Here is a 13,765-nt window from a genome sequence, read left to right as displayed (position 1 = left end):
ACACACATATATACTGTACACACATATACTATACACATATATACTGTACACATCCATACTGTACAAATATCTACTGCATGTACTTATATATATACTGTACACACACAGATGTCTACTGTAAGCACACACATACTGTACACACCCATACTGTACACAAATATACTGCACACATACTGTACACACATACGTACACACCCATGTACTGTACACGCATGTATATACTGTACACACATATACTGTACACACACACTATACACATACACATATATTCAATTGTTTTGTTTACCTGGAGAAGATATTGGAAAATATCTTTCTGTTGTTTAAGCCACTCAGTCTGTGGCATTTTATTATGACAGCCCAAGCAAAGTAATAGGAAGTACATCAGGAAGGTAATTACTAAAAATAATGTGTAACTGTCCCCAGTGTGTGATGTTTGTTGCAGTTACCAGCTTTTAATAATTTGCAACTTCTCCTGATTTCTTTTCTTGTTCTGAATACATTTTCACTTTTGTACCTATTTTTTAATATTCTTTTTTTTTTTTCTGAGACAGGGTCCCACTCCGTGGCCCAGGCTGGAGTGCAGTGGTGTGATCACAGCCCACTGCAGCTTTGAAACTCCTGGGCTCAAGGGATGCTCCCACCTCAGCCTCCTAAGTAGCCGGGACTACAGGCACTTGTCACCATGCCCGGTTAGCTTTTTAAAAGCTTTTTGTAGAGACAGATTCTCACTATGCTGCCAAGTCTGGTCTTGAACTCCTGGCCTCAAGCGATCCTCCTGCCTCAGACTTCCAAAGATCTGGGATCGCAGGCATGAGCCACCACACCCAGCCTTTTTCTTAAAGAGGGCCCCCAAGAGCAACATCTCCAGGCCCCACAAAACCTGGTTCTGCCCCTGCCAACAGCCATCTCTGCATTTCTTGCTGCTTCATTAATACCTTAAGCACATTCTACCAATGCATCTGCCATATGGTTATTAAATGATCTGTTTGTGGTCTGGACGGCCACTAGACTGCACTTTGTGGACGGGCCCTGCTTCTTACCTGTATCTGAACATACAGGGGTGAGGGCAATGCCTGGCACATGTATTACATGCTCAAGAAATATTTAATGAAAAAATGAATAAAGGGATAAACGGATGCAGGAGTGAATACTGAGAAATGGATGTGTCATGTGTCCACCAGTCTGTACTGATATCCACATCATTTTCAGAGTTCAGCTTACAAACAATCCACACTGTTTGAGTTCAACTGGGAAAAAACAGCCCTAAGAATTTTCCAGCTCCTGAACCCTGATGAAAACCTCAAGCAAGTGCAATCACATAAATTACAACCAGCAAAACCAAAAACAAATGAATAAATGAACAACACAGAAACTGCTCTTCTCTACCCAATACCTCCCGCTGGCTCCACCAAAAAATATCCTTGCTATTTTAGTACAATACTAAAGAGATACACACGACTTATCTCGTTGAGTATGTGTTTGGGTGGATAATATGAGAGTGTGAAATACAATACTCAGCAACCCTGTCAAACACAGACTGTTTCCTGAAATGATAAGACATTTAGTCTGAGATATATGTTGCACAGAGTCCAAAATATTTTCTGTGAAACTGCAGCTCTGAATTATAATGAAAAAGATTTGTGTAAAGAATTTGTAAACCGTACTCACTCAAGCATTTCTTCTTATTCCATATTTCTAATTCTGTCTTTTATCTTTGAGGGGAAAAAATTAGCTAGCTAGCTAGCTAGCTAGACAGAAGGAAAGGGATTGCCTTAGTGTAATTCACCACATACTGCTTTGACACTGCAACCACTGTTTCCACTGGAACTTCTAGTTGAACTTGCTTTGTTCTTACCAAGAAAACGAAAAGCAACTTGATTTCTATTATTTGAGGTGTTGAGTGGAGTTGTTTGTGCTCAGAAACCTTTCCAACAGTTGCCCACATACTTTTTTTATTTTTATTTTATTTATTTATGTTTTTTTGAGACAGAGTCTCACTCTTGTTGCCCAGGCTGGAGTGCAATGGCACGATCTCAGCTCACTACAACCTCCGCCTCCCAGGTTCAAGTGATTCTCCTGCCTCAGCCTCCTGAGTATCTGAGATTACAGGTGCCCACCACCATGCCCGGCTCATTTTTGTATTTTTAGTACAGGCGGGGTTTCACCATGTTGGCCAGGCTGGTCTTGAACTCCTGACCTCAGGCAATCTGCCCACCTCGGCCTCCCAAAGTGCTGGGATTACAGGCGTGAGCCACCACGCCCAGCCTACTTCTTACTTCCTATTTGTTTCTAAGTTGGAGTATTGGAAACTCCACCCTACCCCAAATACTATGCTGTTTCTTATTCTTTTTTGAATGATTGACTTTCTTGAGAATCTAGCTGTAGAATCTTTCCAGAAAAATATAGGCACAAAACAAACATGACATTTTGCCCTGCAATTTGGGGGCCTTCCTAGACCCCTTAAAGCCATCCAAGGAGTCCCAGCCAGTGATTCTAGGTAAAGACTCCTGCTCGTGGGCAATCTCATTAAAAAGTGAAGGTGAGCTGGCAGTGTGGTACCTGTGTGAGATATTGATATGGTTTGGCTGTGTCCCCACCCAAATCTCATCTTGAATTGTAGCTCCCATAATTCCCACATGTTGTGGGAGGGACCTGGTGGGAGATAATTGAATCGTGGGGGCGGTTTCCCCCATACTGTTCTTGTCGTAGAAAATAAGTCTCAGGAGATCTGATGGTTTTATAAGGGCAACCCCTTTTGCTTGGCTCTCATTTTTCTCTCTTGTCTGCCGCCATGTAAGATGTGCCTTTTGCCTTCCACCGTGATTATGAGGCCTCTCCAGCCACGTGGAACTGTGAGTCCATTAAACCTCTTTTTCTTTATAAATTACCCAGTCTTGGGTATGTCTTTATCAGCAGTATGAAAATTGACTAATACAGATGTAAAACCTCCCAAATATTTCACAATATACCTCAAACTTTAAGGCAAAATTGTTAAGCGAAAAGAAATCATTAAAGGGAGAAAAGGATACTCTGAATTCTGATTCTCAATAGTATTAGTGGCTTTGATTGTTGAATTCTGATTGAGTCCATGTTATAGAGGAAGATCTGGCAAAATCATTACGGTAAAAAATTCATTTTACACACAGCATTTTAGCAACACTCCTTTTCAAAATAGTTCATGAGTTTCATTTAAAGAATTTCTCTACAAATAATATCATAAGTGTCAAGTTAAAGTGTAAAGTGAGTGGATAAATACATCTCATTTAAAAGCAAATTTATACTAAGATCACCAAAATGCAAATCTATTAAAAATAGACCTTGTCTTTAATGTTTATTTCACATTATCTAAGTACATCCAGTTATGCAAATTTACAGTTTTATTTCACATCCTTGTATTCCTGATATACATATAACAGGACAAAGAACACATTTGCAACACTCAGCCTGTAAAACTCTCTTGGGGGAAACAAGATTCTCAGCTGCCTTATTCTTCTGCACATGTACAAATAAAGTTCTAAATAATTGGAGTGGAAATAAAAACTGGTAAAAGAGAAAACTGACTACATTTTTATGCCACTTGAGGAAATTTGTACCTGACTTTTCAAATGGTCTTCTACTTGCTGAGTTACAATTTAATAGGTAACACATTTTGGGAGCTCCTTAAAATATGCCAAGAAGCTTCATTGTTTCTAGAGTGCTTAAAATCCACATGAAGCTGACATCAGCTACCCATCACTAATGCTTAGATGTGGTGCTGTGGTGCTGTGCATTTATCTAAAATATTTTAAAAGGTAGTAATCAGCATTGTTATCCCTCTTTTATGAAAATATCTTGCCAGGCTAGAAAACAAGCAATTATTTCTTCAATTAGGCAAAGGAAAAAAGGACAGACCAGTACAATTCAGTACTCATTTTAAAGAAAACAATCACATTGAACTAAAAATTTTAAATTTCAGTTACAATTTTATGAAATTCAAATATCTCAGAATCGCATTGAGGTACTAGATGACCGAGTGTTCATTCTGTTCAATATTGCCCACGAGATCTTTCATATCACTAGTTCCTGGGCTTGACTGACTGTTAAAATACAGAGTGTTTTCAAAGGCGCCCTCTTGAGGTAGGTGCACACGTCTTTTCTTATAAAAGAAATAGGCGGCAAGGCCAGCACCCGTTAAAATCAGGAGGATCACAATGATGACTACTCCGGCCACGTTGGAAGACGGTTTAGAAGGGTCCATCTTCCTTGTGTCAGCTATAAATAAATAAAATCATTATGGAAAACGTGGAGGGAGGCAGAGGGTTGCATGCTATGCAGAACTTCGCTTGTTGAAAAACTAAAAGGCATAAATATTCTTTCAAGCGACATTTGTCAAACAGAAAAGAAAGATGTGAAAACAAGAGTCCCTGTGGTATAGAGGATTATTCAGAATGTTAAGATGATTATTCAGTTGCAAGAATAATCCATCTGTCTATGTAGCAGTGGGCTAGTTCATCAATGTATTAAAATATATATACCTTATTTCAAAATAATTTAAGGCTGTTAAAAATACAGTATAAGAAGATAAGTAGATTAGTAATGATAATAATTAAAAGAAAATGGAAATGAAGAGAAAAATAAAATAAGAATAGTGGAAACGTGAACTCATAGATGTAATTAGTAAACAAACGGCACTCATGATGTTAATAAGGAGGTTACAGGCAAGCCATAAATCTCACTTTCAGTTTTTTTTTAAGCAGCCAACAAAATGAGTGAAGTGAAATCAGTTACCTAATTCAAGTAGTCTATAAAAATTAAAACAAAAAAAAAATTCTAAGAAAAGAAAAAAACCCACAGAGATTCTTAAGAGAAATTTCTTCCATGGGTTCAAGGCAGCTGTTTGTAACAGAGCGAAAAAAAAAAATGCCTTCAATAACTGCTTATAGTAAAAACACCAACCTGACTCCAAGGCCTCTTTTTCTAAAGTATTATTCAAAGTAGGCTGATGACAAAGGATAGTTTAGCTTAAGCAAATTCTACTGAGAGAGCAGGGGAGTTGGAAGGGATTATGATTATGCCTTTTAAAACAAACAGTACGGATGTATTACTAACACAGAACTTGAAATTTTGCAATGGCCTTACCTTTTGTTGTAAGTAATTCATGAGTAGGTTTAGCATCAATAACTGTGTGTAAAAAAAAAAAAATTTATAAAAACCCAGAATAATTGCAGGTAGATAGCAAATATTATTTGGCTCACAAATACATGGAATCCTCCACATTTGATGTGTGTTGATTGATATATGATATTATGATATGATAGATATAAAAATACAGGTAGAAAAAAAAGATCTGTACCTTTATCTATATATCTACCTACCTATCATCTATCTGTCTCTCTGTCTGAGCCATAGCAGTTGCCTATGGTTGTATGGTGCGTTTGAGTACATTAGAAGATCTGGAAATGTGATTCTCCAAGTTACATTTGAGCCACTGATACTCACCCTTAAAACCTACCCAATCTACCCATAAGTAAAACATTCAAGGCTAGGGGTTTTGAAATTAGCCTGCTGAAGCCTAAGATGTTAAAAAGCATTTGAATGAAAAGTAAAATAAGACTCCAGGCCAGGAGTGGTGGCTCACGCCTGTAATCCCAGCACTTTGGGAGCCTGAGGCAGGTGGAACACCTGAGGTCCGGAGTTCGAGACCAGCCTGGCCAACATAGTGAAACCCCATCTCTATTAAAAATACAAAAATTAGCTGGGCATAGTGGCGTGCGCCTGTAATCCCAGCTACTTGGGAGGCTGAGGCAGGAGAATGGCTTGAACCCAGGAGGTGGAGGTTGCAGTGAGCCAAGATCACGCCACTGGCAACAGAGTGGGCAACAGAGTGAGACTCTGTCTCAAAAACAAAAACAAAACAAAAAAAATAAAACAACTCCAACATTGTACCAGAGGATGTGGTGTGTCTTAGAACAGTTAGAGAAGCCTAAAGACCCGCCAAATTCTAAAATGGTAAACTCTACCCCGTCTCTACTAAAAATACAAAAATTAGCCGGGCATGATGGCATGCTCCTGTAATCCCAGCTACTCGGGAGGCTGAGGCAGGAGAATCGCTTGAACCCAGGAGGTGGAGGTTGCAGTGAGCCGAGATCGCACCATTGCACTCCAGCCTGGTGGCAGAGCAAGATTCTGTCTCAAACAAACCAACAAACAAAAAACCTCTATTATCTAATCAGTAATGTATTGGGAGGGATATTATGTGACATGACATATCAACAAAATATTTTTAAATTCCAGATAGAGGCACCTTGTGAGCATTCAACACTATCAATTCCCCAATCCTGTTCCTTTCATGGTCTCACTTTCCATCTTAAAAGGAGACTGAATTAGTCTGACGTGACTCATTCCACAATCAATTCTGATCCCTCTCCAGAACCCTGGTCTCCTCAGGTTTGGGCTGGTACTGGCTTTACCACCTTTTCCCTCATGCAATAAGGCTTTGTAGATGGGCTCTCCTGACTGTTTGCAGCTTGGCAAATCCTTCAGATATCCCATTACAAATGCACTGATAAACAAAAATCAATACAACAGCTAAGCAGACAGAGAGTGTCTCTCACTCACGCAGAGCTGCAAACAGTAATGAACTACAACGGCAGAATGGATTTTTCACGGATGAAAGGACAGAGCTTCCAATGGCCTCGTAATCACATTATGATTCCATACCTGATATCTTACTATTTGAAAGAAATGGCAGCCAGTGATATGCACCATGCAACAAACTTCTTACTTACTTTTTGGTCTTTTACAAATATATCCTTTGTAGGATGAACAGTGAATATTACTCCAAAACCCAGAAGACGCATGTAAAGCTACACAATCATTCCGTTCACCAGAGGGATCTCCTGTGTTCCAGTTGACAAAGGAGACCGGACTGTTATTTATCCACAGCCACGTCCCTGGTCATCAGATAAAACCAATAAAGACAAAAGTTAAATATAACCTATCTTAAAATAAGTTCAGCCAATTTATGTGAAATTTCTAAGCATATTCTTTTATACTAGAATCAATAGTCATTTATAACCAGACTTAACAGGCAAGACTATAATGACTAATTATTACAGGGAAGGAAACGAAAAAGAATAGGTTTACCGTATAGCTTTAGTTAAAACCGTATTTCTAATTAGTACAAATATTTATACTTATCCTTTCCTTAGCATTTTTTTCCTGGCCCCACGAAAACATAGAAAATGCTTTTTAAAGCTCCTCAAACTATCTTAGCTACAAAAGATATTTTTTAATTAGCAACTTTGAGGATAGCATGATATGAAACTCATTTTAAATTTCAGTTCTTAAATAAAAATATGAGTTTGAATTTTCAAATTCCTCATGAATTAATCATTTTTAAGGCAACACATTTTGGAAACGAAACCTTGTTTTACATACAACATTTTACAATATTTGTGATTAAATAAGCATGCTGCAAAAATTACCTTCAACATTTCTGAACAATCCTATCCAAAAATTGGTTTTACTTTTAAGTGGCTCAACCCGATATGACAGAAAACTGGATTCTGCAGCACTTTCAATGGAAACCAGAGAGGAACCTAGAAAGCGTAAAAGGATAAATATGATAGCTGCACATTTAAGTAGCTGAAAATATTTTTGTAAACAGCACTGCTATTGAGAGCAACAAAAATCAGCCTAACATCTCCACTTAAGGGGAAGAATTTCAAAGGGCAGGTGTTTGTTTCCTCAGAATTTTAGTTTTCATTCTGAAATACGTTTTTAAGCATCATTAGCATCATTTGAGTACAAGCACTGAACTAGTTCCTGCAGGATAGTCAAAGATTAGTAGGATGTAGAGTATGTCTTCCAAAAGTTATGGTTCAGTGGCCAGTAACAAGAGTACAAAGAAATATTATAGAAGAGAAATTAAGTGCCATATGCTATAGACATGTGAAATATTCATTCTTGGTGAAGCAGATAAAAGGGAGGATAGAGGAAACAGAATTTCAGTAGAGAGAAGAATAGGATTTCAAGTAAAAAGGATAGAAAATAATTCCAGGAAAAAGAGGTAATAAGAGGAAAGACAAAGAGGAAGGGAAGCATAGAACTTCTTCAGGAACAGAGATAGCTTGGTTTGGCTGGAGTATAGCACCAATCTGGTCCACAGGCAAAAAAAAAAAAAAAAGACATGGGTTAGGTCTCGTTGCAGAAGACCAGAGATTGGTATTAAGAGCAATGTGGTGATAAAGAACACCAAGTTTTTTTTTCAGGCAGCTGAATGATGCAATAACCCATCACCTTGCTTTGACTGGTCCTATACATAACAGTTAGATTCTTCACCTAAGAATGGTCCTATATTAGTTATTATTAGAATCCAGCTGTTATGTATAGGACCATTCAAAGCAAGGAAATAAAACAGAAAGACCAGTTAGATGGCTATGGAAGTGACAACCCACATTAGATTGTCAACATTAAATTTTAGAGTAAAAATCTCTAGCTTTTTAATAATAACTAATATCTTTTAAGCATTTCATTCTGGACATTTTGCTTTGGACTTTACAAGCATTAACCCATTAAATTTTCCAATCACTTCATTAAATAGGTACCATCTTTGCCCCATTTTATAGCTAAGGAAACTAAAGCACAGAGGATGAGTAATCTGCCAAGATCCTAACAGTAGCAGAGGGAAGATCATGGTATGACCCAGGCTTTCTGAACCTTGAGGGTCCGTACCTAACCATATGCCTGTATCCCATATTACTGAGTTCTGAATTATCGCCTTGTTTTCACTGCATGACTACATAATCCATTATTAAATATATTTCACAAACATTAGCCGTTTCAAAATATTTATGACTCATATTTTGAGAATGAGAATGAGAAGCATTCATTTTATTTACCAGAAAAGAGTCATCTAAAATGGAAAACAAAGTTTCTACATATTCATTGCAATTTTTTTCAAAAAAAATACTTAGCAATATGAAGAAAACATTTTTTTAATTACAAAAGTTCAAACAAGGCATCAGGTGACATCATGAGAAATGCAGAATAAGTTCTTCTGAAAATTATTTTTTCTATAAAACCAATGAGAACACTGGAAAACTCTAAATCCACTGTTTCAGAATGCTGAAAATTAATCAAAGGCTTGCAATAATTCAAGAAGCATTTATGCAAGAAAAATGACTGTGTCTTGGTAATGATAGTGAGTTTTATAGTGTTTTAACTTGTCCTAATCCCTCTGCCTTCTTTCCAGTTCTGCTGTAGCCTTAAAAACCAACAGCCCCACAACCACAGTGAAAACCAGTAGCCTAGAAGCCACAGGAGAGGCTAAAATGGGGTTGGAGCTCTTTCCAAGCCCCATTCTCAGAGAATCTCCATTACTTGACCTGTCTTACAGTTCCCTAGAAAACCCCACTCGCAAAGCTTGTCTTTATTTGACCTGATTCAGAGCTCAGTCAGTGCAAACAGACTTTTCCCTTCAAGTGTTTGTAAAAAACTATCAGTGGCAATTGTCTAACATTGTAACCATCTAAGGCAGTGATAATAGTTGGGGCAAACAACTAGCGAATTGAAAAACTTAAAAGGAAAAGCTAGGGAATGGGATGTTCATAGGAGACTTTAAAAAGCATTGACAAATTCCGGGGAATGTAGAAGGCTACAGATATGCATTGAAGTGTGCCCTTGCCCAAGGCTATGTGCATGTCTGAGAAAGACCTGAGAAGGTCCTAAGTTCTTGCATCTGGCTGAAGATGCACTACACAAGCAGGAAGTGAAAGCTAAGGCAGTTTGTAACTGCTTGGACAAATATTAAAGGCACATCCCAACACACAGACAGATCCTCTGCAAAACCTGGGAGACTTCATTAGTTCTAGGCACTTAAAGAAATCTGCACCTACCACATCTAACACCACATGTATACACATCACGATAAAACTACCAAAAGACAGAAAGTCTTAAAATCTGTGAGAGAGAAGGGTCTCATCATGTACAGGGATCTTAACACTAATTTCACATTAGAAACCATGGCGTCCAGCAAGCGATGAGCTGACATCGTGAAAAAGATGAAAGAAAATGACTGTCAAGCAGGAATTTTCTATTTAACAAAGCTATCTTACAAAAAATGAAGGAAAAAGTCAGACATTCCTAAACCAAAATGAAAAGAAATTATCACTTTAAGAACTACTGAAGAAAATACTTCCAGTGGAAATAAAAGGGCACTCAACAGTAACTCAAACCCACACAAAGAAATAAAGAGCATCAATAAAGGAAACTACAAGGGTAAATATAAAAAATAGTTTAAATGTGCTTTTTATGTATAACTCTATCTTTTCTAATTGAAAGATAACTGTGTAAAACAATACTTGTAAATCAGTGCTTATGGGTATGCAATGGATAAAGTTGTTTTTGTCTGCCAATAACAGCACAGAGGAAGGCAGAGGGAATGGAGCTACATAACAGCAAAGTTTTTGTACACTATTAAAATTAAATGTTTATATGTATATTAATATGAACCAGATTTTTTTCTTTTGAAATGAAGTCTCGCTCTGTTGCCCAGGCTGGAGTGCAGTGACGTGATCTCAGCTCACTGCAACCTCCACCTCCTGGGTTCAAGTGATTCTCCTGTTTCAGCTTCCCAAGTAGCTGGGATTGCAGGCACCCACCACCATGCTTGGCTAATTTTGAACTAGATTTTTGTAAATTAACATGTTAGTTGTAATCCCTAGGGCAACCACTAAGAAATAACCAAACGATATATAGTAAAAGAAACAACAAGAAAATTAAAATGGAGGCCAGGTGCAGTGGCTCACACCAGTAATCCCAGTACTTTGGGAAGCCGAGGCAGGTGGATAACCTGAGGTCAGGAGTTCGAAAACAGCCTGACCAATAATGTGAAACTCTGTCTCTACTAAAAATACAAAAATTAGCTGGGCAAGGTGGCATGTGCCTGTTGTCTCAGCTACTTGGGAGGCTGAGACAGAAGAACTGCTTGAACCTGGGAGGCAGAGGTTGCAGTGAGCCAAGATTGCACCAATGCACTCCAGCCTGGGCGAGGGAATGAGACTCTGTCTCAAAAAAAAAAAAAAAAAAAAAGAAAAAAAAAGAAAAGAAAAAGAAAATTAAAATGATGGTACACAAGAAATTATCTAGTTAACACACAAGAAGGCAGTAATAGAGGAATAGGGGGACCATAAGACATATAGAAAACAAATGGCAAAATGGCAGACATAAATTCTACCTATCTATAATTACATTAAGTGTAAATGGAGTAAACACTACAATCAAAAAACATAGACTGGCAGAGTGAAAATTAATTAATAAGAAAGATCCAACTATGTGCTGTCTAAAAAAGACGCTTGAGATTCAAAGACACAAATAGGTTGAAAGTAAAAGCATGGAAAAATATATGCTAAGCAAACAATAGCCAAAAAAGAGCTGGAGTGGCTACACAAATATTAGATAAAATAGACTTTTAGATAAACATTAGTACTAGAGACAATAAAGACATTTCATAGGAAAAAAATTTTTAATACATCAAGAAGATGTAATGAGTGTAGACGAATATGTACCTAACAACAGGGCCCCAAAGTACATGAATCAAAAACTGACAAAGCAAACTTCAATTAGCAATAATCGTGCCTCGGATAAACCTCATCGGCTAAGATACTGCCACTGTACAAAGCTAAAGCAAACTTCATCTCACTCAGAATTTAAAGTCAAAAGTCAGGTTGACTTTTGAAAGAACGTGGAGAAAATGAGGTTATAAACTGTGCGTACCACTGTTGGATGGAGAACTCTTGAGTTAGGGCATAAAAAACATGAAGTAAATATAATTCAGTAAAATATTTAACGGGATTTAACTAAGTGGCTTTTAAATGTACCCTTAAAATAAACTTTATTTGACATTTTTCACTTCAGGTGGAAAAATCATTCATCTTTGTGGTGTCTATTTGAGTTTTATTTGTCTTCACAAAAACAATAAATAGAAATACTTTTCTATTAATGGTACAACAAAACAGTTCCTGGGCACTTGTAAAACTTCAGCTTACCAGTGATAAGAGGTGAGTACAACACTTGGAATAACTGAGGATGAGAATCCTAACAATTTACAACATGAAGTCTGAAAGGAAGAAACCATTTAGAATACGCTGTTTTCTACCCGAATTCTCTAAATTCTCTAAAATTTGAGGCTACAAACTTAGAGATTACATTTGGGAAGCATGATATTGGCCATTCTGTTATAAAATAAATCATTAAAAATATAAACAGGTATTTTTACATTCTTTGTATATTTCATGTATAGTGTCAGTGGACCCCAGAATAGATGATTATGGAGTTTTCCTTCAGGAAATGTGGCACTCACCCATTCGAAGACATTCCAGAGAAGCTTGGCCCCAGTTTCTTGTATATGAGGACTCAATATAGTAACAGTGACCATGGAAAGGAATCCATGCTGTGTGATCTGACTCCGGGCATCTGCCAGGCAGTTGTGGGGGTTCAGTAGCAGGGATTTCTGTTAATAAAAACACATTTTAAATAAAGCAAAACCTGAAGTTTCTGTAGTGTGTAGCATCATACATTAGCAGCTACAAAAACTGATCATTGATCATTATTTTAAAAAATCTTCCAATGGTTATCATTTGGATCACCATATTTATTATTGGGTTTCCTTTTATCAATGTTTTCCACTTTAAATATATTTCAATAGAATGTGCTATGGTATAGCGGCAGTCAGTTACACTCATAGTTAAGACAATCGATCTATAGATACCTACAAAGATAATTTTTTTTTTTTTGAGACGAAGTCTTGCTCCTGTCCCCCAGGCTGGAGTACAATGGCGCGATCTTGTCTCACCGCAACCTCTGCCTCCCGGATTCAAGTGATTCTCCTGCCTCAGCCTCCCGAGTAGCTGGGATTACAGGTGCCTGCCACCAGACCCAGCTAGTTTTTGTATTTTTAGTAGAGAAGGGGTTTCACCATGTTGGCCAAGCTGGTCTCAACCTCCTGACCTCAGGTGATCTGCCCGCCTCGGCCTCCCGAAGTGCTGGGATTACAGGGGTGAGCCACCGCACCCGGCCCAAAGATAAATTTTCTAAAAGTCACCACAAAGTAATTTGTAAAGTGACTTTCCTTTTTTAAGTCACTGTTTTCCTTTTCTGGGATCCTAATTCCTACAACCCTTTCTTAGCTATTAATAGCACCTGGGATTAACTAAAGGCTATATTTAGAATTCTAGTATGGTGTCCATCATTGACTCTGATGAATCTACATGTATTCTGATAAAATTCCTTTGATATAGATGTGTTGTCAACATCAAAAGTAAGCAAAATTTCCTGGGGAGATGTTTATCTCCATTATTTTGATCTATGTATGTTGGTTTATAAAGATAGTCTTTTGATAGGTGAGGGAGTATGTTCTATATTATTCTTAGCTATCCAAGACACATTACTGTTTAATAATATCAACAGTGGTATGTAGTAGCTTATTCAGAAATTTTCAGATCCCCTGACTGTTTTTATATATTCAATTACCATCTGATCTTTTACAGAGAAAGTAAAAACTTTCATTGCAATGTGCTGTCTTCCAGTAGCCATCAAGATCCAGATAAACACATGCTGATTTCAATTTGGGCTCATCAGCAGCCCAGTTAGTGTACCTCACCCTCCACTTATCAGTCCAAGTGTATTGATTATCAGTCTGCAACGACAAAAACAAGCATTAACATGCAGCCTTGCTTCATTTAGAAAATACTAAAAGAACCAATTCAAGAATACAAAGTATATT

General features: G+C 37.5%; 1 protein-coding gene and 1 pseudogene across 1 annotated transcript in view; both read right to left on the bottom strand.

Annotated features, from left to right (window-relative positions):
• The window catches only part of MRC1 (mannose receptor C-type 1), a 101,817-nt gene continuing 91,353 nt past the window's right edge, over nucleotides 3,302–13,765 (bottom strand). Inside the window, exons 25-30 of the mRNA NM_002438.4 lie at nucleotides 13,513–13,678; nucleotides 12,344–12,493; nucleotides 7,467–7,580; nucleotides 6,768–6,932; nucleotides 5,119–5,160; nucleotides 3,302–4,251 (exon numbers count right to left, since the gene is read on the bottom strand). Coding sequence (NP_002429.1) covers nucleotides 4,001–4,251; nucleotides 5,119–5,160; nucleotides 6,768–6,932; nucleotides 7,467–7,580; nucleotides 12,344–12,493; nucleotides 13,513–13,678 — 888 coding nt within the window. The 3' untranslated portion in view covers nucleotides 3,302–4,000. The remainder of the gene's footprint in view (nucleotides 4,252–5,118; nucleotides 5,161–6,767; nucleotides 6,933–7,466; nucleotides 7,581–12,343; nucleotides 12,494–13,512; nucleotides 13,679–13,765) is intronic.
• Nucleotides 11,488–11,664, bottom strand: LOC124902600 (uncharacterized; annotated as a pseudogene).

The sequence above is a fragment of the Homo sapiens genome, chromosome 10, assembly GCF_000001405.40.
Source record: "Homo sapiens chromosome 10, GRCh38.p14 Primary Assembly".
Classification (NCBI taxonomy): domain Eukaryota; kingdom Metazoa; phylum Chordata; class Mammalia; order Primates; family Hominidae; genus Homo; species Homo sapiens.
This window is presented reverse-complemented; position numbering and strand designations above follow the sequence as displayed.